We start from the raw sequence: 26507 nt of genomic DNA on the forward strand, positions 1-26507 counted from the left end.
TTTTTCATTGACTTGGATTAAACAGGTCTGTATCACACAGCAAACAGTATATTTGCTTCAGGAAGATGTTTAGCCTGTCAGGTGAGTAGCAGTACAAGTCCTGTGCTATTAACCAATAATGAATGTAGTGTGTTTGGGGATGGGGAGTTGGGGTGTGCTAGTATAGTTGTGACAAGTTACTGTTTCAATTTATTAGAATAGAATTTCTCAGAAAGTAGAGATTTATTCTGTTATATTCCATCCCATATAAAACATTCACCTTCCTGGGATATTCAATCCCACTACCTGGGATATGTGATACCCTGGAAAAGTAGTCTTTCTGGCCACTGGCATAAGAGAAAGCAAAGCATTATCTGCTCCATCGAAGTTTTATTAGAATCGCTCTCCTTTTACTTCAAACAATCTGAAAGTTAAATGCCAGAAATGCAAATAGAAACTCAAAAGTTTCAATTATTTCCAAATAGTCAGACATTTGGACATCATGCAGGCAAATAAAGATAAAAGAATTAAATAAAATATCCAATAAAATATGCCTCTGATCCATAGTAGCAAAATGGCTGAAAAGCGTCAGGCAATTTTTCTTAAACTACAGCAAGCTCTCTGTTTTATTTTATTTTTTTGAAGGAACATCATGCTGCCAGAATAGCAACTCACTACCAAAACAAAGTCATTTGGAACCAATAACAAGCCTTTATGTGGAGCACCTTCTACCGCCTTCCTCACTGCCTTCTGACCAAAACACACACACACACACACACACACACACATACACACACACACACACACACACTCCACCAAAGGTTTCTTGAAGAAGTATTGCTACCAACAACGGGGATAAGTATTTCATAGAACTCCCTCTTGAACCCACTTCACAAACTAAATGTTTATGACCAAGGTAGAGACTGGCAGCACATTCAAAGTTTACAATATAAGGTGGGGCTCTGAGTTGTCAATAGGAGCAACAGCAGACAAAAGCCCCAACAGTGTCAAAGGAGGTGGTACAAAATCAAATGCTCCATGGCATCCTCTTCTTGGGAATCAACCCAGCGTGTAGAAACCAAGAACCACATTGCCCCATCAACAACTGGAAGAATCACTTCTGCATCTCAGTGCCCCAGGCCTAGCTCATCCAGGGTGGCCCAACTCTACTGGCCATTGAAGCTTCTGATTCCACTTTGGGATCCTGGAAAAGAGCCTCTGTTAGCCTTCTGACCCTAAATCTCTTTATTCTTTGCACTTTGTGAATCTTTTAATACTATAGGGGCAGCTGTTACCTTGCAGTGTCACATTCTACATGTTTCAGTAAAACATCTCATAGTCATCTAGGTGGAGGTGTTCCATAAACAACTGCCTGAATTTTAAAAAGTGGTTGAAACTATCGAATAGATAAGGTCAAATTGCCTGGATTTGGATTTTAAATCTACTACTAGGTAAGTTATTTAACATTTATAACCTCATTTTCCTAATCTGTAAAATAGTGATAAAAATAGTACCTCATAGGGTTGTTACGAGAAGCAAATAAAATCATCCATGTAAAATGCTTGGCACAATTCCTGGCACATAGTAATATTCTCAAGTATATGCTAGTTATTCCTATCATTTTATATAGTAAATGTACTGCATATGTTGTATATTATATAGATAATATATATTACATGTAGCCATTATTATTATTATTACTTATGGAATGAGCAGAATGTAGAAGTTGGGGATGTCTTATCAAAAGTTGACGGGCCCTGAGAAGTGAACTCGACCAATGCAGCTGACTTCCTTAAAGACCAGAACGAACAACAGGCTATGGCCAAACCAGTTGGTTTGGTGTATTCAAACCAGAAGATGATATCTATCAACACAGCGAGTGAAAGTTAAGCTTATATGTAAGGCCACTCCCTGATCCAAATACCAGGCTGCTCTTCAAGCATGTGTCCCTTACTAAACAGTTAATGAAACACAAAGAGCTTTGAATACCTCCAGTGTCACATTTCAAGACTTATAGAATAATTAGGAAAAATCTGAGCTGGCAAAACTCTTCCTGGCTTGCCCTGATGAGCAGACCATCTTTGTTTTCCATTAGTGTGTGTTGTCGTCACAGTAACTACAGGGCTCCAAATACAGGCGCAGGGCATCATTTCCTCATGTGCACTTAGGCTGCCACACTGAAATAGCATTATTAACTCAGCAATGCCTCTTCCTTTCCTGTTGTGCTTGGTACCATGGTCAAAGAGGCAAGGCCTAAAATGAGTTACTTAAGATGTAAGTATATGAAAGAAAAAGAATGTTCATTTATTCCCATTATTGTGTCATCTATGACTTGTGTGTGTGTGTGCACGTGCGTGTGTGAAAACCTAATTTTTGCATAGATCTTTTAGATAAACAAGGGCAAGTTGGCAGTAACTCCATTGTCTTGGTGGTGCCAGCAGTCTATTGTTTTCAGTCAGATCTTCTTTTGGCCTGAAATCTTCAGCCAATTATTTTTTAAAGAATGCATTTGGCCAACTCTGATGTGTCCGTTTCATACCTTTCTTACACCTTTTCCTTACAAAGATAAGAAGCAGATAATTCATTTCTTTAAATTAACTTGGGAAGATTGCAATTACAGTTTTTACAAGATCAAAAAAGGCTATTTTCAAGGGCAGACTATAGGGTCCTTGGTCAGTGAAGCAACAATCATCGTTTCCTCAATGTTTTGGTAAAGGAGGTAGGCAACAGCATTTAGGCAAGCAAATAAAAACAGAAAAAACCTTAAACCTTAAGGGCTCAATTAAAATCAGATCACTCGAGATAATTTCTGCATTAGCTTTAAAAATTCTTTTTAGTTTGTATTTCACAGGCCTCAGAAACACATAAATCACCCAATATTATGCACATTGACACCACTTCCCAAAAATGGGAAAAAAACCCAAACTTTCTTTTGATGTCTCAGTGTTGCTGTGGCTTAAACAAAGCCCTCAGAGACAGAGCAGCAGGGGGATGCTGGTTTATGTTGTATTACTTCACTTCTGTGCTGGGAGTTTCTCAAGTTCTGCAATCAGCTGGTTAACAGCCAGCTAAAGCTGCTCAATTCATGTATGACTTTCCTTATTCTAAATTCTTCCACAACGGGCTGCCTGGTCTTTGAAATTAAACTGCCTCAGCTACTACCAGAGAAAGCTATATTCTGCCTGTAGCCTTTTCCCTTCTCTCATTAGCTAAAACATAGACTGACCATTTAAGAAAAAAAAAAAAACATAATCCAATATACTTTCCTGAGGTTTCTATATTTTTGCCCTGGTACCACTATAATATATTCATTCCGCAAAGCCAGGAAAAGTTATTTCCTTCTTTTCTTTCTTTATTTTACTTTTCCTTCCTACCTTCCTTTGTTTCTTTCTTTCCACACAAAGTTTTCATTAGAGAATGACAATTTTAAAATTTGTTTTGCCTCAACTTTTAGAGACTTATCCTTTCAACTGGGAAAAATAAAGTAAAATTGACAGATTTAAACCATTTATGTCCTGCATAAGGTTTGTTGCCACTAAAGCTGCTAAGAAACTTCCCTGCTTATAAGGGTGCTTTATATATTTTTGTTAAGTATACAGAATATTAAGCAGAATACACATACACACACATCTTATGAGATAACACTTTTTGTTTGTCTTGGAATGTACTTTTCTTTTCATATTTAAGAAGAATGAATAGGATTAAGGGCAATGAATCGCAAGAATTCATTTCCATTTAGTAAAGTTAAAGTTAGCTTAAGATGACCTTTTTTGGTCTTTTCATTTTTATCTGTTACTAGGTTAGTAAAACAAAACAAATCATCTAAGGAGAGAAATAAAGAATGATAAATTTAATAATGTGTTCTTGCATGGAGGAGGAAGTCTTCATTGCTGTACATTACCCAGTATAGTCGGCTGTAAAACAGACACCCAAGCACTGTGTATAAACACACTTTATCTCCAAGTGCAAATATAGAAACCATAGAACAGTCTGTGCTGTGGGTGATTTCTTAGCCTTTTTAGTAATGGTTCTATAAGACAGCAGACTGCTGAGTGATAAGGGAGAGTTTGAAACATAAATTCCATACTAAATTATTGGCTGCTGTTCAAATTGTGTCTGCTTAGAGTACCCAGCAGCAAAGTATGTCCCAAGCAGGATTCCAAACTTAAATAATACATTCTCCTGCCTTTCCTATAATCTATGAAGTTGAGATCACAAACTATCCGCATCCAAGAACTTTGTATGCAACAAAGATTAAAGTAAACAAATAACTATATTTAAGGTGTAATAAAGCCATACTAGCTTAAATTTATTGAAGAATAAATTATAAACTATAGATTTTATAAGTCATTTAATGTTCAAAAAAACTTCATAAGGAAATAGCATTATTACCCTCTTTTTACAGATGAAGAAACTGAGACACAGAGATTAATTTGCCTAAGGTCACCTTGAGCTAAAATCTGAATCCAGGCTATCTGACTGACTTAGTCATGCTACTAACCTTTTCTGACTCCTCTTCCATGAACATCTTCTGGTTATATCTTCAACTCAGATTTAAAGAAACAAAATGTATTTTTATTAGCTTATCTTTTTTCTATTTATTGCTATATATATTAAAAAAATGTAAAAATGAATTTATACTGCAGGCTTTTAGATGTCATTTTTCTAATAAATTGTTACCAATCTTTTTTCTCTTAAACCTTTCTGTTGAAATAAATCTCAACACGAGCTTGCCCCCTCATTTCTCCTAGTGCTACCTTTCTAAAACCCACGAGTTTAAAGAGGGAAGATTAGACAAATGAATGAAAATGTGGATTAAACAAACTCTGTAAAATCTTATATCTTAAGGCATATGTTTTATGAAAAAATGCTCACCTGCCAAAAAATGAAAACACAGGTAGCATTATTTAGACTGTGTAAACCCCAAAGTTTCACTCTAAACAATAAGTAAAAATTATAACCACAAGGAAACCGGTGCTTAATGAACATATTAAATATTTCACAAATTTCATTGGAAAATTCCATAGGGTTTCTTACTGAATATCCACTTAAAAGAGTAAGTTTCATCACTTTGACCATCTTAAAATATAAATACTAAGAGAATGTTTTTCTTTTGTTGAATACAGAACAAATTGCTTTGAAAGTATGATTCCTGCTTTATCTCACTCAATAAGGCTACAGTTTTCACGAGCAATTAAATACTGAAAAATGTCTTTTTCAAAATATCAAGAGAAAAACAACAGAAAAAGGATCATAACGTATTTAAATGTTTTCTTGTTCAAAGCCAGATTCTAATTCACGATCCACAAATAAGAGCCATGATTTAAATGAATTGTACCAAAAGTAACTATAAATAGAACCTGGCACCAAAAGATAACAAAAGTATATAAGTTACAGTATTTAGAGGTCTAGGTAGATACACAGGATTTGTGTGTGTGTGTGTGTGTGTGTGTGTGCATGTGTGCATGCATATATACATACACAGTCCTGTCATATTTCCCCTTTCTATTTTATTCCTGAGAGATACAACATCATTTCCACAATTGGGTACATGAGTGTAGTTAAAAGTGTTTATAATTTTTCTGTGCGTGGTAAAACCATGAAGACTTTCCTTGAGAAATTTCTGAAGTAAAAAACTATTAACTTACAGTTGCTTTTCTTGATTCTATACTTATCCATACTTTCTCATGTACTTATCATCAGATATCTAGAGCCACAAATGTGAATGGAACATCCACAATGTGCCTGCAGCTGAGAAGCTCCAAAGCCAAGTGATGCTTAGGATACGGCATTGCACCTAATAGACGTCATAAAATTGTTCTGAATATAAAGAGGCAAACCCTACTTAAAAGTACCCTAATTCTAACAGAGCACCAAGCTGTCTAAACTTAGAAAGAATCACTTCTAAAATGTATGATCCAGAATATCATTGTGAAAGTGGAAGACCCTGATCTGGGTCTTAAAGAGTAGGCAAAGTTTCTACAGGACCAGAGAGTAAATGTCTTCCAGGCAGGGAGAATAAAAGCTGGGGCAAAGCTGGGGTATTGAAATGTTCACTGAGTATGTGTTTGGAGAATGGCCCATAATCTGAAATACCTGAAGCAGAGGGACCTTGTTGTTGAGTCATGGTATTGAGACTGGAAAAGTTAAGTAGGTGCCAGATGATGGAAGGTTTTCAAAATACCCAGCCTAGGTGTTTGGCAGCAACTAGAAGTCCCAGAAGATAACTGAAGAGTAGATAGACAAACATAGCAATGCTTTAGTAAAACCAATCTCGTGGTCATGGGCAAGATGATTTGGATGGCAACAAGGGGTAGGAGGGAGCAGCATTGTTATAATCCAAACTAGGGTGAAGAGAACAGGCATTAGTGTGGTGGAAGACATGGCAATGGAATCTAACAACTTTTATGGTAAAGGGGAAAGGGACAGTTCCAAAATGTCACAGAACTATGAACTTGAGTGAATAGGAGAACAGATCTGCATTGTAGTGGAGAGCCTGATTGTTCATATAGTGGAGGAAACCGTGTTGTTTAGCCTGAGCTGAATTGCTGTTGATTCTCAAGAATAAATGTACAACAATGAAGACAATTAATGATACTGAAAAATTCACTTCATCAGCAAACATGACTTTTACACAGGGCCAAATGCTGCACTTAGTTATCGCCACACTGTCCCACTGACTCCAAAAGAAATTACATGCCTAGAATCAATGGTAGATTTTGGCCTTACACATACATTTTTAAGTCAACAATGTGACCCTTCTTAGGATAAAAACAAGAAAAATGTAAAGCATTTAGTTCTGACTTTTCAAACTCCTTCAAGACAAAGATATTTCATCTCTACTAAAGCACCAGGAGTTTCAGTCTCTAATAGTAAACTTACCAGAGTGCATTTTGCACTATTATTTATACATATTTGTATATGTGATTCGCTTATGTACTGTATAAACAAGTAAACAGAATTATAAAACATAACACATACTGAAATGAGTGCCCTATTTCATTTTCCTGAGCATATGCTATATAAGCTTTAATTAGCTTTTCTTAAAAGAAGATCATTTTCTGAAAAGGTTGATACATTCTTATTTGTCAACAAATAATATGTTAAAAACTGGTTTTGGGTAAATTCTTTCTTTACATTGATAGAATAGACTTTAAAAATTCCAATTAAAATGTGCTTCTATATCTTCTTTGATATTATCCTTAGACTAAAAAATTATTCAAATCATCATATTCATTTAGAGGTAAAATATTTTTATGGAAATCTACCCCAATTACAAACCACCAGATGTCAATACTAACTATATCAACAATGTACAACCATAAGTTGTCATATTCAACATGAAATTGGTTACTATAAGCAATTCTGATAAAATTGCATGGCAACTCATGGAAGGGGAGACAAGATGCCATCAGCTGAAAGGAGGATTTCCTTTACACTATAGTAAACACATTCATACACACACACATGCAACTTAACAGAAAATGTTTTCTAATTAAGTTTTTAAAAATAGAATCTGTTATATCTAAATACAAGTATTGATTTATTTTTTAAAAGTACACAAATATCATTATCTTGAGTAGTTATATTCAACAACTTCAAGAGTAGTGATTTAATACCAGGCATATTTTATGCCCAGTCAGAAGCATTTGGGGTGACTCTAGTGTAACGAGGTCAGAACCAGCACAAGGTGTACCAGTGTAATCAGAGAATTAGGCAAAAGGAGACACATGCAACAGCAGGTTTAAAAAGTACAGCAATACAAACACCATGCGGGACTTTCCTCTCATTTACCAAACACAAGCTGCTTAGCTAGTTTCAGTAAATGAAAGTTATTTTACTTCTAGGGGAGATATCCTTTTCATTGCTTAGCCATCCCAATTGTGAAAGGAGATGTGAAATTGTCCTTTGTCATAGTTCTGTTACCTGCCGAAGAGCACTAACTTGGGAGAAATATTTTGATGTCTACTAAAACACCATAAAATTATGTGTTTAAAAAGGAATTGGTATAATTTTGAGGAAGAGATGATGTTTCTGACTTTTTAAAAATAATTCACAATGGTTATCGTAACTTCTAAATGTGTTATCACATCATAGAACAGGAAGAATCAAAGGAAACAGACAAAACAGAATGGGAGAGAACTCTCTTCTTGTGGAAACAGATATTTCTTAAGAGAGTAAGTATTTATTTATTTTGGTCTTACCTGACGGCAGCTCCTTTAACCAAAGGTATGTCCTCTATGTAGGTAGTTTATCCTTTGAAGAACCCAGTGGCTTGTCTCACAGCCCAAGACAGATTCGAGTTCTCAAAAACTATCCAGCCCAAAAGAATACAGAGGAAAAAGCTTTTCCCACTTTCTTTCCCAGGACCAGCCAATAGCTGAAGTCATGCAGGAAACAGAGTAGAGAGGAGGGAAAGCAGCTTCTTCTCCCTGAAATCCCGATCAGCAGAAATTGGAAGTTGTTGTATATCTCCCACCCAGACTTTTGTTTAAAAGTTTTTTCTACTGTTGCTAGGTGTTGTTGGGTTCGGAGATTAGGTTTCTCCTCTTCTGCTCCCTTCACAACACTGTCAGAGCAATGGCTATGTTGAGGAGCTGAGCTCGCGGGTGCTATATTTAACCAGTGTTCTCAGCAAGTCAAGCCTGTCAACAGCTGAGAAGTTTGGAGCCGGCTTTACTCAGTTCCTAAGCAGCTGGGTTATCAGTGGATACAGCGCTGCTCACCCTGTAAAAGATTGCGGGAAAACCGGCAGGCCCTTTTAAGGACTTCTGCTCATTTCACAGAGGTAATTATTGTTTGAAGCTCTTAACTACAGACTGAGATTTGGGACTTAGGTTTTAAAATGTGAAGAGAAACAGAGCAGCAGTTGTCTTAGGCAGAGCAATTTACTAATGCAATATTCTTCTCGATTAGGCTCTCTCAGATAAATGTTCTGAAATAAAAAATGCTTTTTAAAAGTGTATCACTTCTGCATAAATGGAGGTCTTAAAAAAGTGTATCACAACTGTTGGTTGTGAAAATGAGTACAAGATCACTTCCAAACAGCTTTTGACACTGGTGTGTTTCATTTATAGCTAGATCACTTACCTAGTCATATCAAACTTTTGTCCAGCTATGTACCTGAATGTTATTAAAATAATATTACCATAAAGGAATGTCTATAACATTATGATTTTGAAAGGAGTAACATTAAGAAGGAAAATCTTAGCATCCTCACTCAGGTCATTCATTCAAAGTAACACACGGTAAACACTCCAGGAAATCCAGGACATGAGATACCTCTGGTTGTTGACAGGCTTGCCTCATCATTAACCCTCAAGTCTCTACAACATGAAGAATGTCTCAAGATACTTTATGTGCTTCATCCTACATAACAAAACGGTATGAATCTGCCGAGATTGAAACTTTTTAGAAATTGTTTAATTAACTAGTTTTGGGGACCGTTTTACTAATTACATATGTGAAATTAACACTAAGGGAAACTGAAGGAGGTCCTCTTGGCCACAGGTAAAGTAGGAAGGGAGACACACACACCACACACATATACACACACACACAGAGAGAGAGAGAGAGAGAAACATTATTGATTAACAAACTAGAATATGGCCCTGACAAAAATCTCACCAATACCATTATAAAGGTTGACCCTCTTCCTGAGATCAATTTATCAGATTAAAGATACCCTCTTTTTGACATGCAAACTGAAGATGAACCAAGGGCATATGTAAAGGTGTGGATGTAATATTTTAAGAGTTGCATACTTGCAGTAAGTAGCTTATGTGCTGGGTAACCCTATGTCTCTGAGAAAGTCTGCCACTTCAATCAGGAGTGTGTGTATGTCCTTCTTTTTAAAGAAATGACCCTCACCTGCTCAAGCCATTCAAAAACATCTCAGTTCTTCTCATTCCAAATACCACACTGACAGCATGCACCCTGCCCCTTTAATGTATTTACTACCATACACATGTAAAATTGCATTTGCTCAGACTCAGTCTTTCTGAGTCTGAGCCAACCATGATTTAAAAAAAAAAAAAAAGAGACTTCTATTAAGATGAAAGAGCTCTCATGTGAAATTAACTGACTCTTCTCGAGCTAATGGATCTTTTAGAAACTTAATCTATTCACAGTCCCCAAAAGTGGGTTCTAATAGAGGTAGAAAGTATATAAGTGAAGTATGAGATAATTCAGAATCATCAGAACTTTTAAAAAATTACAAAGGGGCTGGGCACAGCGGCTAACACCAGCACTTTGGGAAGCTGAAGTGGAAGGATCACTTGACGACAGGAGTTCAAGGCCTGCCTGGGCAACACAGCAAAACCCTGTCTCTACAAAAAATTAGCTGACCATGGCAGCACATGCCTGTAGTCCCAGCTTCTTGGGGAGCTGAAGTGAGATTATGGCTTGGGGCCAGGAGGTCATGGGTGCCGTGAGCCATGATTGTGCCACTGCACTCCAGCCTGGGCAACATGACCATGTCTCCAAAAAAAAAGTGGGGGGTCGGGGTGAGATGTGGGTAAATTACTGTTTGAAAAATATATATGCTTCCCCTCACACACACCAAATGCAACAGCCCCAGGTTAAAATCCACTAAAAATAACCCTGGGGATATATTATTTCACCCCTACTAAGAGTTCACTTTACAGATATCTCCAGACCAAAATGAAGCAAAGAAGAGTGGTAGCCAAATGTCGAGATAACTGAGGGGAAAAACCCACTTTGCCCTTACGGCCAAAAAAGGGTGATAGATTTATTTTTTCCACAACTATCCAGATAATTAAAGTTTTCAGTTTTGTTTTGTTTTATGAAAACCTATTCCCTTACCATTGTTTTTCCTTAACCTTTGGATTAGCTGTCTATTGTTGCTATTAGTTTATTTTTAAATAATGTGGTGACAAGCCACAGCATACAGAATAATTCATATAATTAGATATTGTTGCTATCATCAAATTATGTTCTTTAATCATACTAGGCATATGTGCATGACTGACTCAGTATTCTACAATAATCAGACTCTCTCTCTCTCTCTCTAACACACACACTCACACACACACAGGCAATAAAGTAAATTTATTTTGAAGGCTTTTCCCCCTGGGAATGATTATTCAGACTAAAGCATTTCCGACATAATCTGCAGAGGAAGTGGTGCTGCTAAGAACTATTAGAAATTTGTGTTTTGTATACAGTCAACAAGGAACTGATGTTTCAACACATATTGTTAATATATTACTGTTCAGCTGCATCCTTTCCCACAGCCCTCTCAGAAGTGTGAGCATTCTGAGAACCTCTGATAAATTTACAAGTAAAACCGAATATCCCAACTTCAAGGATGAGTCATGATGAAACTTTTTTTTTTTTTGAGACAGTCTCGCTCTGTCCCCCAGGGTGGAGTGCAGAGGCGTGATCTCGGCTCACCGCAGGCTCCGCCTCCCGGGTTCACTCCACTCTCCTGCCTCAGCCTCCTGAGTAGCTGGGACTACAGGCGCCCGCCACCTCGCCTGGCTAATTTTTTTTGTATTTTTAGTTTCACGGTGTTAGCCAGGATGGTCTCGATCTCCTGACCTTGTGATCCACCCACTTTGGCCTCCCAAAGAAAACTTTTCAATAAGAAGATAGATTAATGCTATTGGGGGGTGGGGGGAAGGCAAATAAATTAAATAAGAGCATTGACCCATTATCTCTACACCCATTTCTCAAACCAAATTTTCCCACCTTGTTCACTTAAATAAGCATAGTGATTTTTAAAAGCAAAAATAATTTATTAAGTTATTTAATAAGTTAATTAAGTTCTTTAATATACCAGTGAAGAGAAAAATAGACACTTGCTTCAAAACAATGTTTACTTTAACAATGTTTGGGGGTAGTGGGTGGGTGGCATGAGGCAAGTTTTCAATCAAACATTCTCTGTTAACATTTATTGCCTGACTCTGAGATGATGAATATAAGCTCACTGGTACCAGAGAATTTTTCAGTTTGTTTTTTTCTGGCTACCTAAGCACCAAAGTAAGTGTTCAATAAATAAGAAAGACTGAATGAGCAAATGAACATATAAAAGATTAAAGAAAAGATAAAGAAAACTATAGAGCATACAGAAAATGCTTCCAGGCTCTCTGGACAGAGTTGGTCATCATTAGATACATATAAAAACTCGTAAAAAGAAATTATTTGATTATGAATTAATTATTTTGAATTTGTTAATTTTTTGTTGTTGTTGTTGTCGTTTGAGACAGTTTCACTCACTCTGTCGCCCAGGTTGGAGTGCAATGGCATGATCTCAGTTCACTGCAACCTCCGCCTCCCAGGTTCAAGCAATTCTCTTGCCTCAGCCTCCTGAGTAGCTGGGACCACAGGCATGTGCCACCATGCCCGGCCAATTTTATTGTTTTTTTGGTATTTTTAGCAGAGGCGGGGTTTCACCATGTTGGCCAGGCTGGTCTCGAACTCCTGACCTCAAGTGATCTGCCCGCCTTGGTCCCCAAAAGTGAATTTGTTAAAATTTCAAAGGAAAGTAATAGATCTCAGGATAATAATAAAAATATCTATGCAACACTTACCATTAGCCAGACACAGAGTTCTAAGGGCTTAACATATATTAACCAAACTGATTCTCACAATAACTTTATGAGGTGGGTATTATTATTATCTCACATTTTACAGGCAAGAAATTGAAGCACAGAGATGTTAATAAGTTGGCCAAGGTTACATGTTAGTTGGTAAATAGCAGGACCAGAATTTGAACTAGTAAATCTGGTTCCAAAAATTTGTGTTCTTAACTACTTAACTGCCTCTTATATACAATAGTCACAGTAGCCTGTTCTTATCAATCACTGAGAGTTACGGCATATGAACTTCACTATCCCTGAATATATATACTTTTGACCAAAAAATACATTTAAAATCCAACAGCTTTGGAGGCAGATAGGAAAAAAAGATGGGATCATTTCATGATTAGCATAGTAAAATAAAAACTCGTTGGAACTGAAGTCCCGTTGAATACCAGAAAAGAAAAAAATTGGACTGAAAAGAAGATAATTGCTTTAAGAAAAAGTCTCTTTTTAAGCAAAGGATATGAGCTGTTCAGTATTGTTTCTAAAACAAGCAATGCATGATATTTTATGATGAATGAGTTTAATGCTTAATGAAATTCTAAAATTACATTCTAAAAATATATTTTTGGTCTATGATTTGATTTGATGAGCAATTTAAAAATGTTTTGGAGCTATGTGTTCTCAAAGTTGTAATCAACAACAAGAAAAAATAAAAAACAATGTAGGGGAAATCATACATTAGTAAGTTCTTTGGCATCAACATAATATTATATTACACTTGACATAATCAGCTTTCAAAATTTGAAAATACTTGCATTTTCAATTAATCTAGCTATTCTTCTATTTAGATTTTATAAAACCTTAAAAGAAACAGCACTAACACTGTTATAATAATATATACATATATTCATTATAAAATAGATACTTGTCCTGACAATTAATAAGCACTGTCACACCTACAAATAAATATTCATAAAATATTAAATTATTTATTTTTCCAACGCTTCAGGAAAGAGAAAGACTAGGTTTTAAATAAACTAATAATATTTTTGCTTTTGCCATAAATTAAGCACTTATATGCATGTATTAGACATTAAAATTCTCATTTCTCTGCTTGTGTGCTTGAAAGTGGGTTATTAGAACTAAAGCCTAAAAGTTGTTGTTTTTTTGACACCCCATAAGCCAACCTCTGGAGGACAAGCCTACCAGAACATGTCTAATCCTGAAAGTTATTTCAGGACCATATTCTACAGACACTTACAGATCACAAGCATCCTACTTTTCAATAGGATCAGATAACCTTCTCCTGAGACTATTTCCTGCTTCCTTTCCTGTGCCAGAGTCATGACCTACTCCTGCTCAATACTCAGTTCCTAGTTGTAACGGATGACTTTTAACAATTTCTTAAAAGGGGTTGGGACATTTACTCTTTAAGAAACAGATACAGAATCAGAAAGCCAGTGATTGAGCATAGAACCACAAAGAACAATGCATTTTCTCCTCAAGGTATATAGGTTTGTATATACACACTATATGTGTATATACATATATATATATATATATATACACACACACACACACATACACATACACACACACTGTATATATATACACACACAGTATATATACACAGCATATACACACACACTGTATATATATATACACACTGTATATATATATATATACACACACACTATATATATATATATATATATATTTAACTCTGAAAAATGGGCTTTCTTAAAAATACAGACATCAAGATATTTGATTCCGGAGTAGGGTAAAGCTAGTTTAAGTCCAGACTCCCTTATTTATTACCTGAGTGAGCTTAGCAAATCACTTAATCTCTCTTAAGCCACCTTTCCCTCTTCTATAAGATTAATAAAAGAATTTAAGACTATTCAGTTCTTCCCTTTTGCAGCCATTGCCGAAGCGAAAGCAGCCAAAATGAAGTCCAATCCCTTTGGGACTTCTGACTGAAACAGAACTGTAAGAAGCATTTCAATGCACCTTCCCACATTTGCAGGAAGATTATGTCTTCATCTCTTTCCAAAGAGCTGGATCTGAAGTACAATGTTAGATCCATGCCTACGTGAAAGGATGATGAAGTTCAGATTGTGCAAGAACACTATAAAGTTCAGCAAACTGGCAACGTAGTCCAGGTTCACAGGGAAAAAATATGTCATTTACATTGAATGGGTGCAGCAGGAAAAGGCTAACAGCACCACTGTCCATGTGGGCATTTACTCCAGCAAGGTGGTTGTCACTGGGCTAACACTAGATGAAGACCACAAAAAAGACCCCTGAAAGGAAAGCCAAATCTTGTCAAGTAGCAGGGAAAGGGGGATATATAAGGAAGAAACAATAGAGAAGATGCAGGTATAAAGTAATTTTATATAAAACTTTCATTTAAAACTGCTAAAATGGAAAAAATGACTATTCACAATATCCAAACACTAGCAACACTCTAAATGCTTTCTACAATTGAACAGATAAATAAATTGTGGTATAGTCATACAGTAGCATTGAGAATGAACAATCTACAACTACACAGCAGTGTAAATAAATCTCTCAAACAAAATGTTAAGTGCAAGAAACCAGACTCAAAAAGTACACTGTATGATTCCATAAATATCAAGTTCAAAAAGAGACAAAGCTAATCTATGGTGTTGGAAGTCAGGACAGTAGTTGCCCTTAGGAGATGGGAATACGATTCGAAGTGGACATGAGGAAAGTGTCTATGGCATTGGTAATGTTCAGTTTCTCGCTAGTGACACTAGTGTGTTCAATTTTGAAAATTAATCAGGCTGTATACTTATGATTTGTGTATGTTATAATTCAGTGAAATTTTTTCAATTAAATGTAATTGAAAATATATCATGCCTACGAGTCCTTGCCTTCTGAAATATTTACAGATAATATGATGTCTAGAATTTGCTTCAAAACAATCCAGTGTTGGCTGAGAAGGATTACAGGTGGCTCACGCCTGTAATCCCAGCACTTTGGGAAGCTGAGGTGGGCAGATCACCCTCCTCAGCCTGGCCAACATGGCCAACATGGTGAAACCCCATCTCTACTAAAAATACAAAAATTAGCTGGGTGTGGTGGTGCACGCCTGTAGTCCCAGCTACTCAGTGGCTGAGGTGAGAGAATTGCTTGAATCCATGGGAGGCGTGATCACTCCCGCCTGGGCAATAGAGGAAGACTCAGTCTCAAAAAAAAAAAAAAAAGAAATCCAGCGTGGGGAGAGGAAGAGAAGTGGGTGAGGGTATAATGAAACAGAATTGACCATCACTTGACTGCTGTTAAAGCTGGGAAACAGGTAATCATTATACTGCACACTCTTTCTATTTTCATATAGGTTTTAAGTTTTCTGTAATTAAATGTCTTTAATGCTTACTGTCTGGCATATAAATAGACACTCACTAAATGTTAGTTATTATTTATATAATTAATATTATGACTATCTGAGTCTTTACATAGAAGTCACATGGAATTCCATTGGTGTCATTAGATAATTAAGAAGATAATTGAGGGCCAGGGGCAATGGTTCATACCTACAATCCCAGCACTTTGGGAGGCCGAGGGGGGAGGATCACCTGAGGTCAGGAGTTTGAGACCAGCCTGGCCAACATGGTGAAACCCTGTCTCTACTGAAAATACAAAAATTAGCTGGGCGTGGTGGCATGCGCCTGTAATCCCAGCTACTCAGGAGGCTGAGGCAAGAGAATTGCTCGAACCTGGGAGGCGGGGGTTGCAGTGAACCGAGTTGCTCCACTGCACTCCAGTCTGGGCGACAAAGCAAGACTGTATCTCAAAAAAAAAAAAAAAAAAAAAAAGGAGATAATTGAATTTATACTATTAATATACACTATTAGCAACTGAGATTTAAAAAAATTGAATATAAAAAAGTTTATTCTCAAAGAAGGTGATTTTTTTTTTAAAAAGAAAAACAATTTTAAGAAAAAAAAAAAAGGTAAAGAAACTAGAAATGCCAGCCTGAAGCAATTAGTTTAAAAACCACTGGAAAAGAGGCTTCATCCTTGCTTTTTTAACAAAACTTTTAACAAAACCAGCAGGATATTTTTCTTGCCTTATCTGATAATTAAAGGTAAAAAATATCAAGAAAGTAAGGCATCCAGACAGCAAAAGCTGTAGGCCAACAGTTCGTAAATAACAGGAAATGTCATCACAAAGGTCGAACATTCAGGATGAAAAATTCAGGGCGAGAAGTGTTCAGAAACACTTGAATTTGGTATCCATCTTACAGCTGAGTCGGCCTTTGTATCCTTAATATTTGCATTCTTCACTTCTTTCATCTGAAAATGAAGTAATAAATCACCTTCTGGGAGAGGTGGAAGGGACAAGAAAGTGTTTTTGAAATGACAAAATATCTGAAAACTTTGTGTCTCAAAGTTTTCCTTTCAGTCACCTACCTTGAGAACTATGAGCTAAGTCAACTATATGGTGAAATGATGGAGAACGTTCTTTTAAAAGCTTTATGTTAAATAAGTATAATATAAAATAAATGTGGAAATTAGAGTCATTAGGTAGAGTGAGACAATTAAAAAGTCAATGAAAACTACAAAACAGTAATTTTTAAAAAAACCAAAACTGACCTTTATAAGATAATTACAAGTTCCTTGTTGAATCTTTAGCCCTTAAAAATAGCTTTATAGTCGGTGCAGTGACTCCCACCTGTAGTCTCAGCTGAAGCGGGAGATGGCTTAGCTAGGAGTTCAAGGCTGCAGTGAGCTATGATTGTGCCACTGTACTCCAGCCTGGGTGGCAGAGCAAGACCTCGTCTCTAATAAAATATTAATAATATTGCAGAAAAATATTAAATTTAGTTAATGAATTAGAAAAAACTCACTGAAAGTTAAATGAAAACAGCAGGTAATAAAACAGCATTAAATGTATTGTTGCATTATCCTATTTAAAGATAGATGTAGATGATATAGATATAGATACAGATATGAAAATAGAAATACATATATAGAAATTCCCTCCCCATATTATGCATATGTATTTCTATAGAAATACATATACACATACATATATGTGTATAAATGTGTGGATCTGAAATATTTACACATAATAATTACGATGGTTATCTTTCTGTATGTTCTCTAAAGTTTTCATATTGATTTTTTTTATAATAGGAAAATAAGATAATTTAAAATTATTTCCTATTGGGGTGGTTTTCCAACATGTTGCTAAGGTGCAGGCTTGAAGATTCGTGCTTGGTATGACTTGCCTTTCCTGTTACTACTCAGGATTTCAATGAGTCTGCCTCAGGATAATGTAATTATTAAGCAAATGACATAGTTGAATTTTGTCTGGTGTGGATCTGGCATTCAATTTCCTTAACTAAATTCCTCTTAATATTCACTCACGGAAAAAAAGAAAAAAGGTCATTTCGTGATTCTTCAAAATGAATTATGGTTGCTTTGCTTTCCATACTGTATGTGGGTTTTTCTGCTCTTTTATCCTTAAGAATGTCTTAACTTGCCATAACATTATATCATTGCATTTGCCTCTGTAGCTTTCTCCTGTGACACTTTCCCTTTGAGCCATCGATTGTGTTTGGGTCTGCCTGGAAATTTCTGCATGATGCAAGGAGGAGATATTTTCTCCTTTAGGGCTTACCTGAGGAAAAGTTTCAGTCATTTTGCTGTTGTTGACCTTAAGCGATAGAGGACAGAGAAACACTTTTTGCACTTCCTTAGCAATAGCTAGAACATGACATCACTATCTGAACATGTCTTATGGTAGAAACAGCCCTGGGAAAAAGGAGACTTTGTTCTGACCCCAACTAGCAAGACAATTTTTAAAAATGATTTAATCCCTCTGAGCCTATTTCCTCAATTGTCAAGTGGGAATAATGGTGTTTAATCTACACACCCCACCACCACTCTGCACCCTCCACCAGCACCACCACTGTGATGATGGGGAGCCACAGCTCTAAAAGCGAGAATGTTCCATCAGAGCAAGGAAAGGCAATGGTGTTGTTGGGTTCACCCCCGTCAATTTCCACTATCTAAAATTATTTTCATTGCCTAAAAATATTTTTATTACCTAAAAAGGTTTCCTTGTTATAAGCTTCATTTCTAACATAAAACATCTTTTTTACAAAACCTATTTTATTGTATTTATTTATTTATTGTATATGTGATGGAGTCTCACTTTGTCACCCAGACTGGAATGCAGTGGCAAGATCTCATCTCATTGCAACCTCTGCCTCCCAGGTTCAAGCTATTCTCCTGCCTCAGCCTCCTGAGTAGCTGGGACCACACGTGTGCGCCACCACACCCAGTTCATTTTTGTATTTTTAGTAGAGATGGGGTTTCACCATGTTGGCCAGGCTGGTCTTGAACTCCTGGCCTCAGGTGATCTGGGACCACAGGCGTGCACCACCACGCCAGGCTCATTTTTGTATATTTAGTAGAGTCAGGGTTTCACCAGTTAACAGGCTAACAGACCACCTGTTAGCCAGGCTGGTCTTGAACTCCTGGCCTCAGGTGATCTGCCCGCCTCGGCCTCCCAAAGTGCTGGGATTACAGGCATGAGCCACCACGCCTGGCCTATTTTATTGCTTAGGTTTTTATACATAATTCTAAACTGTTGAAAACATTGTCAGATATGTAAAGTAAAGAGGCAAGAATCTTTTTTTTCAAAAGCTGCTGATTTAATTAGTTGTAACCTCGCTGAAAGAAAAAAAAAGTTACAGTTCCAAAGCCAAATTTTGCACATTTAGGTAAACAAATAGTAAGTATTCTGAACTTCTCTGTGTGTGTGTGCTTGGAAATTCCGTCATCTGTAAAGCAGGTGCATTTGAATGTAAATTGACCAACACCATTTGTCAGAAAATGAATACATGTATTATGGAAGTAATAGACTTAAGCTACACACCAAGACCATAAACTCTAGATGTTTTCAAAGTATAAATAAGTAGATGAGAATGAGAAAGGGGAGTTGACAATGAGTGGTGACAGGAGCATAGCTCATCTTAGTGCCGGTTCAGACCTGCAAACAAGATGGCTGGTCCAACATGAAACCAGTTCCCCTGAAAAAACATGAATTCCATGTTTGCCTGTGTGGAATTCAATCAAAATCTGCTATAGGATTTATGTAATAAATGAATGTGGTGCATTTACTCTGTGCAAGGCCCCCTATAGCAATAGTTTTCAAGTGAGAGACATTTTGTCTGCCAAGGGACATTTGGCAATATCTGGAGATGACTTTGGTTGTCATAACTGAGGGTTGGACTGCCATCCAATGGTAGAGGCCAGGGATGCTGCTAAATATCCTAAAAGGTACAGGATAGCTGCCCCAAACAAATAATTATCCGGTCCAAAATATCAATAGTGCTAAGGTGAAGAAACCCTGCATTGGAAGATTAAAAAAATAATAATAATCAGACAAGAACGGTGCTCAGGAGCTTAGAGTCTGGCAATGAAGAGGAGGCAAATACATAAGAAAATGGGCAAAGCAAGAAGAGCTATAAGAAATACACAAATGAAAAATTATTTATAGCTTAGGGATCAGTGAAAATTTTGAAAAATAACACTAAGGCATTGTTACCAGTGAGGGGTCATCCAGGTTCTTGGTATTTTGAACAAAGAATTGGACAAAATGCACAAACAAAGTAATAAAAGAAGCAACGAAAGCACAGATTTATTAAAATGAAAGTATGCTCCACAGAGTGGGAGTAGGATCAAGTAAGAGGCTCAAGGGTGCTGGTTACAGAATTTTCTGGGGTTTAAATACCCTCTAGAGGTTTCCCATTGTTTCCTAGTCACACCCTATGTAAATGAAGTAGTCACCCATGACCAGTCTGTTTAGTTGCAGGAGGAGAACAATTAGAGGCTGAAGTGAATTACAAAGTTATACCCCTATGCAAATGAAGACCAGGCCCGCGACCAGTCTGATCAGTTGCAGGAGGGGACCTAGCAGAAGTACTTTCCATTTTTCATCTGCAATGCAGTGCAAAGGGAATAGCCCCTGATCCTTTTGTTACCTGGGGTGGAGAGGTAGGGTTTTCCTTTTGATTCATTTCTAGGAAGTCAACATGAATTGGACTTAGGTTCCCTGCCTCCAGACCCTATTCTCCTGTCTCAGTATCACCAGTGAAGGCTGCGAAACAGTAAAGATGGCAGGGTATTCAGATAGGAGGAGAGGAAGTCAAATTATTTCTGTTTGCAGATGACATGATCCTATATCTAGAAAACCCCATCATCTCAGCCCAAAAACTTCTTAAGATGATAAGCAACTTCACCAACGACGCAGGACACAAAATTAATGTGCAAAAATTGGCTGGGCATGATGGCTCACACCTGTAATCCCACCACTTTGGGAGTTCAAGGCAGGTGGATCACCTGAGGTCAGGAGTTCCAGACCAGCCTGGCCAACATGGTAAAACCCTGTCTCTAAAAAAAACACACAAAAATTAGATGGTGTGATGGTGTGCACCTGTAGTCCCAGCTATTTGGGGGGCTGAGGCAGGAGAATCGCTTGAACCCAGGAGGCGGAGGTTGCAGTGAGCTGAGATCATGCCACTGCACTCCATCCTAGGCGACAGAGTGAGACTCTGTCTCAAAAAAATAAAAATTAAAAATTAATTTAAAAATTAATGTGCAAAAATTACTAGCATTCCTATATAACAATAGGCAAGCAGAGAGCCAAATCATGAATGCACTCCCATTCACAATTGCTACAAAAAGAATAAAATACCTAGAAATATAGCTAACAAGGGAAGTGAAGGCCCTCTTCAAGGAGAACTACAAAACACTGCTCAAAGAAATCAGAGAAGACACAAACAAATGGAAAAGCACACCATGCTCATGGATAGGAAGAATCAATATCATGAAAATGGCCATATTGCCCAGAGTAATTTATAGATTCAATGCTATTCTCATTAAACTACCATTGACATTCTTCACAGAATTAGAAAAAACTATTTTAAGATGTATTTGGAACCAAAAAAGAACCCAAATATCCACGACAATCCTAAGCAAAAAGAACAACGCTGGAGGCATCATGCTACCCAACTTCAAACTATACTACAAGTCCACAGTAACCAAAAGAGCATGGTACTGGTACAAGAACAGACACATAGACAAATGGAACAGAATAGAGAACTCAGAAATAAGACTGCACACCTACAGCCATCTGATCTTCAACAAACCTGACAAAAATAAGCAATGGGGAAAGGATTCCCTATTTAATAAATGGTGCTGGGAGAACTGTCTAGACATATGCAGAAAATTGAAACTGGACCCCTTCCTTACACCATAAACAAAAATTCACTCAAGATGGATTTAAGACTTAAATGTAAAACCCAAAACTATAAAAACCTTAGAAGAAAATCTAGTCAATACCATTCAGGATACAGGCATGGGCAAACATTTTATGATGAAATCTCTAAAAGAAATTGCAACAAAAGCAATAATAGACAAATGGAATCTAATTAAACTAAACAGCTTCTACATAGGAAAAGAAACTATCATAAACTATTATCAGAGTGAACAGACAACCTACAAAATGGGAGAAATTTATTGCAATCTATCCATCTGACAAAGGCCTAAAATCCAGAGTCTACAAGGAACTTAAACAAATTTACAAGAAAAAAAAATTAAAAAGTGGGCAAAAGACATGAACAGACACTTCTCAAAAGAAAACATACGTGTGGCCAAAAAACATATGAAAAAAAGCTCAACATTACTGATCATTAGAGAAATGCAAATCAAAACCACAATTTGATACCATCTCATACCAGTCAGAATGGCATTTATTAAAAAGTCAAGAAACAATAGCTGCTGGTGAGGCTTTGGAGAAATAGGAATGCTTTCACACTGTTGAATGTAAATTAGTTCAACCACTGTGAAAGACAGTGTGGCAATTCCTCAAAGACACAGAACCAGAAATACCATTTGACCAACAATCCCATTACTGGGTATATATCCAAAGGAATATAAACCACACTATTATAAAGATACATATACACATATGTTCATTGCAGCCCTATCCACAATAGCAAAGACATAGAATCAACCTAACTGCCCGTCAGTGATAGACTGAATGAAGAAAACATGGTACATATACACCACGGAATACTATGCAGCCATAAAAATCCATTCTGGGACATGGATGGAGTTGGAAGCCATTATCTTCAGTAAACTAATGCAGGAACAAGAAACCAAACACCAAGTTCTCACTTATAAGTGGGAGCTGAATGATGAGAACATATGGACACATGGCGGGAGTGAACGACACACACTGGGGCCCGTCAAAGGGTGAGGGTGTCAGGGGAGGATGAGTACTAGGAAGAATAGCTAATGGATGCTGGGCTTAATACCTAGGTGATGGAATGATCTGTGCAACAAATCGCCATGGCACACGTTTACCTATGTAACAAACCTGCACATCATGCACATGTACCCCTGAACTTAAAATAAAAGTTGAAGAGGAAAAAAGGAAAATAACACTGTAAATATCCATCTTAACATTCCTTTAAAAACTAAATTTAAAGGCGCTAGTGATTTTTATCATTCCTTTTTAATATAAATAAAAATAACCACCAAATATCTATGGAAAGATCCACTCTATTCTTGCAACTGTATTAAACTGTCTGAGAAGACAAAGCTGAGTAAAACAGAGTCACTACTCTCTGGAACTCAGAATGGTCACATCTGTAATTCCACACTGACATTATTGAGATTCATTCTGTCAATGTGTTATAAGTGCCAGTTATGTGCCAGGTGCTTTGTGAGACACAAGACTTCAACAGGCAAGGTTCCTGTTCTTATGGAACACACTGTTTCTTGGAAGAGAGAGATAAAACTCAAACCAACAAGTGCATGATTTCGATGTGTGACTTCTGTTTCCAAAAATGTTGGACCATGGTCTAATAATCCTGAAAATCTCCTCACCAAAAAACACCTAGAAATTCCAGCTAAAATAATACAAATATTCTTTTAGAAACCTAGCTGACATGAAAGACATTACGGGAAACCCCTAATGACCAAAACCAAAGAGGGGACTGAAAATCAGAGCCATGAATATGAGGTTTCTCAGGTATGGGGGCTGTATTAGTCTCAGAAACCAATAGATTTTAATAGCCAGATAGGGATAGGATAGGATACGAAGCCTCAGGCCCATGGAGATTAAGATCTGGAACTAAAACCCCTGGATAAAGTTAGGACACTTGAAATAAAAACAAAAAACAAAAAAACTAAATTATAGGCACAGGAAAATAAGAAAACATCCATCTTGGCCTGGCTTTGGATGAGAAAAAAAATAGACTATGCTGAGAATTCATTACTACAAACCAGGTTTCAGTAGGTTTGATGAGCGAATATACAACAATCTTTTTGAGTCCCCAATCAAAGATGTTAAAATAAGAAGCTCTAGATTGGCAGTCCTCACAGAATACCTAACAGAAGAAAATGTTTATTTATACAGTCAATACCTGGTGACCAGCTGTGCTTCTTCATGGCTTGTGAAGCCATGGACAGCATTGTCATGCTTCACCTTGCATTGCTTCCCATCCTTCCCTCCTTTTCATTTCTCTTTTCTCTTAGTTTTACCATTCTGGAATTATACTTCCCAAATAAAGCTTAGTGCATAATCCTTGTTTCAGCTTCTGCGTTACAGGATACCTGAGCTAAGTTGGGGATTCCCATAAGAAGAAAAGGCCTGTTTACAGAGATGCCATCTAAACTGAGACCTGTAGGAGAAGAAGACCATGCAAACTATAGAGGGGAAGAGGAAGAGTAATCCTGACAGAAGGAATAGCACGTCGGAAATCCTCGATGTGGAACAGAACACAGAACCTTCAAGAAACATAAAGACAATGGCAGAGTATGGGAGAGAGAAATTTGGAAAGCTACATAAGCATCCTGCCATGTAGAAGAGAGGTCTCAGGCCTGGATCTTGGTTAAAGCTATGTATGTGTTTTCTTAATTTAGTTGCCAAAAGTTGAAAAGTAAAAGATATCATATAAAAACATCTGGATTTTGAAAAAATTTAAAATGTCTGTCAGCAATGGACCTGTATTCTTAATGGGACAACAATCAGCTGGATCTACCCACTTGAGACAAGACCTGTGACCTCATGTTCACCACTGCACCAACCGTCTTTTCAATTCATTCATTTTGCCTATTTGGCCTCTATATGCATTTGAATTTCTAGTTCCTAATTTAGGACCTTATTGGTTATGGCTTTTTAAAAGTGGAATTTTATTATAAAATAAAGGATAGCCCTTGACATATTTTAAGCAAGGGAATGATGTGATCTGCTTTATCTTTACACCACTCGCTGTGCAAATATACATTGGAGAGGACCAAGAATGGAAATAAGGATATGAATGAGGAGAGTATTGCAGGAATCCAGGTGAAAGATTATCATGGCTTAAAATAGAGTGGTAGCAATGGAAATGAAGAGAAGTAAGTGGATTCTAAGTGTATTTTGGAAGCAAAAAATACAGTATTTGCTGATCAATTTTATATTGAAAGTTAGAGAAAGAATAAAAATGATTTGTATTCTATTATTAACAACTTGAGCTTTCTGTGGTCAACAGTTGAAGGGATATTTATTGATAATCATTACTACCTGGCGAATTTAAAATACGTGAGTTAAAAATAAAGGAAATCTGATTCCCTAAAGGAGCTTGAATCCTATAAGTAGATGTAAGATTGATGCAAATATATGTACTTACAAGTAGCCAAAAATAAAAAGATATATAACTGTAATTGTAGAGAATAATAATGGCAACAGCTAATATTCATTGAGGATATATAGTTATCTGGTAAATACATCTCATTTAATTCTTATGATACATGGAGTTGGGCATTGTTCTTCTCATTTTACACATAGAAAAATAAGAAGTTAGGAAAGTTAGTTAACTAGTCCAAGATCACATAGCTTGTAACTGGCAGAACTGGCATTTGGGACCAAGCAGACTGACTCCATGGCACATTTTCTTAATCAGTACACTAGACTGCTTTTATAAACATGTAGTAGGGTCACAAATTTACCAGCATACTGAAACTCAGATATTCAAAGAAAAATGAACTCCTTTTTTGACTGAAATTGCTCTGATCTTCACAAACCTCCATCAGATGGTTAGAGGGGAGGAATTAACTTTCCTCAATCTTGCTTAAAATTTAGACCTATTAGATAATTGAAATAATCCATTGTTATCACATAAGAATACAGGCCCATGTTCTGACGTGTCTAGGAAAGAAATAGAGATTTCTCAGCCTTTCACCACATCTATGTGTGCAGTACATATGCACGTCCATACATATTTCATCTCCCCAAGATGGTACCTGAGCATACGGTGGGGGAGGTGGGGGGCTATGGTTTATGTGTGAACTGAGAACCACTAAAGTTCCCCAATCTAAGCTTGATGTTCAGTCCCATTTTGTTGTTGCTTGCCCTGCTGGCATTCATAACTAAACTCCTGTTCTGGAATTGTCCTTGATCTGGTTCCCAGCTTGTTAAAAACCTGGTAGTGTTACCAGGTTAATGGAGCCTTAGCTCAGTTCTCAGCAGTGCTGTAGAGCTCCCCACATCTGTGACATTTCCTACATCCAACCGTCTGCCCCAACAATCCACCTCCTGCCTCTGCTTCAGGTTGACCCCCACCTAATCAGGGCCACTAGCTAGGCTAAAATATAACTTGTCATTCAAAGTGAGATCTTGTGAGAGTGATAAAAAGGTCTATTATAATTATAATGAAACAACAGAGATAAAATAGAACAATCTCAAATTAGGACATAGGGCAGGCCCACTTGCTCTCAACTTAGCTGCCTTGCAAGTTACCCTTCCAGAAGTTTCAAGAACTCTTGAGTTCTTGCTGCAAGGGATGGAGGAGAGGCCCAGGAAAATTAAACTTTGCGGACTCCACCTAGTCACATTATATAGCCAAGTTCAGTTTGTTGTGGTTAAGTCCCAGGTTGGTCTAGGTTAGCCCAA

General features: G+C 37.0%; 1 protein-coding gene, 1 long non-coding RNA gene and 1 pseudogene across 8 annotated transcripts in view; 2 read left to right on the plus strand and 1 right to left on the minus strand.

Annotated features, from left to right (window-relative positions):
- The window catches only part of FILIP1 (filamin A interacting protein 1), a 201942-nt gene extending 193372 nt beyond the window's left edge, over positions 1 to 8570 (minus strand). For all 7 annotated transcript variants that reach the window (NR_110608.3, XM_005248715.6, NM_001300866.3 and 4 more), the window contains exon 1: positions 8184 to 8570. The gene's annotated coding sequence lies outside the window, so the exon portion shown is untranslated. The remainder of the gene's footprint in view (positions 1 to 8183) is intronic.
- LOC124901343 (uncharacterized) lies at positions 8669 to 24804 on the plus strand. Its single transcript, XR_007059648.1, has 2 exons — positions 8669 to 8767; positions 24169 to 24804. It is a non-coding gene; the product is annotated as an uncharacterized LOC124901343 (long non-coding RNA).
- On the plus strand, positions 14475 to 14912 carry RPL26P20 (ribosomal protein L26 pseudogene 20; annotated as a pseudogene).
- Positions 24805 to 26507: the final 1703 nt, after the last annotated feature.

The sequence above is a fragment of the Homo sapiens genome, chromosome 6 (genome assembly GCF_000001405.40).
Source record: "Homo sapiens chromosome 6, GRCh38.p14 Primary Assembly".
Lineage (NCBI taxonomy): Eukaryota > Metazoa > Chordata > Mammalia > Primates > Hominidae > Homo > Homo sapiens.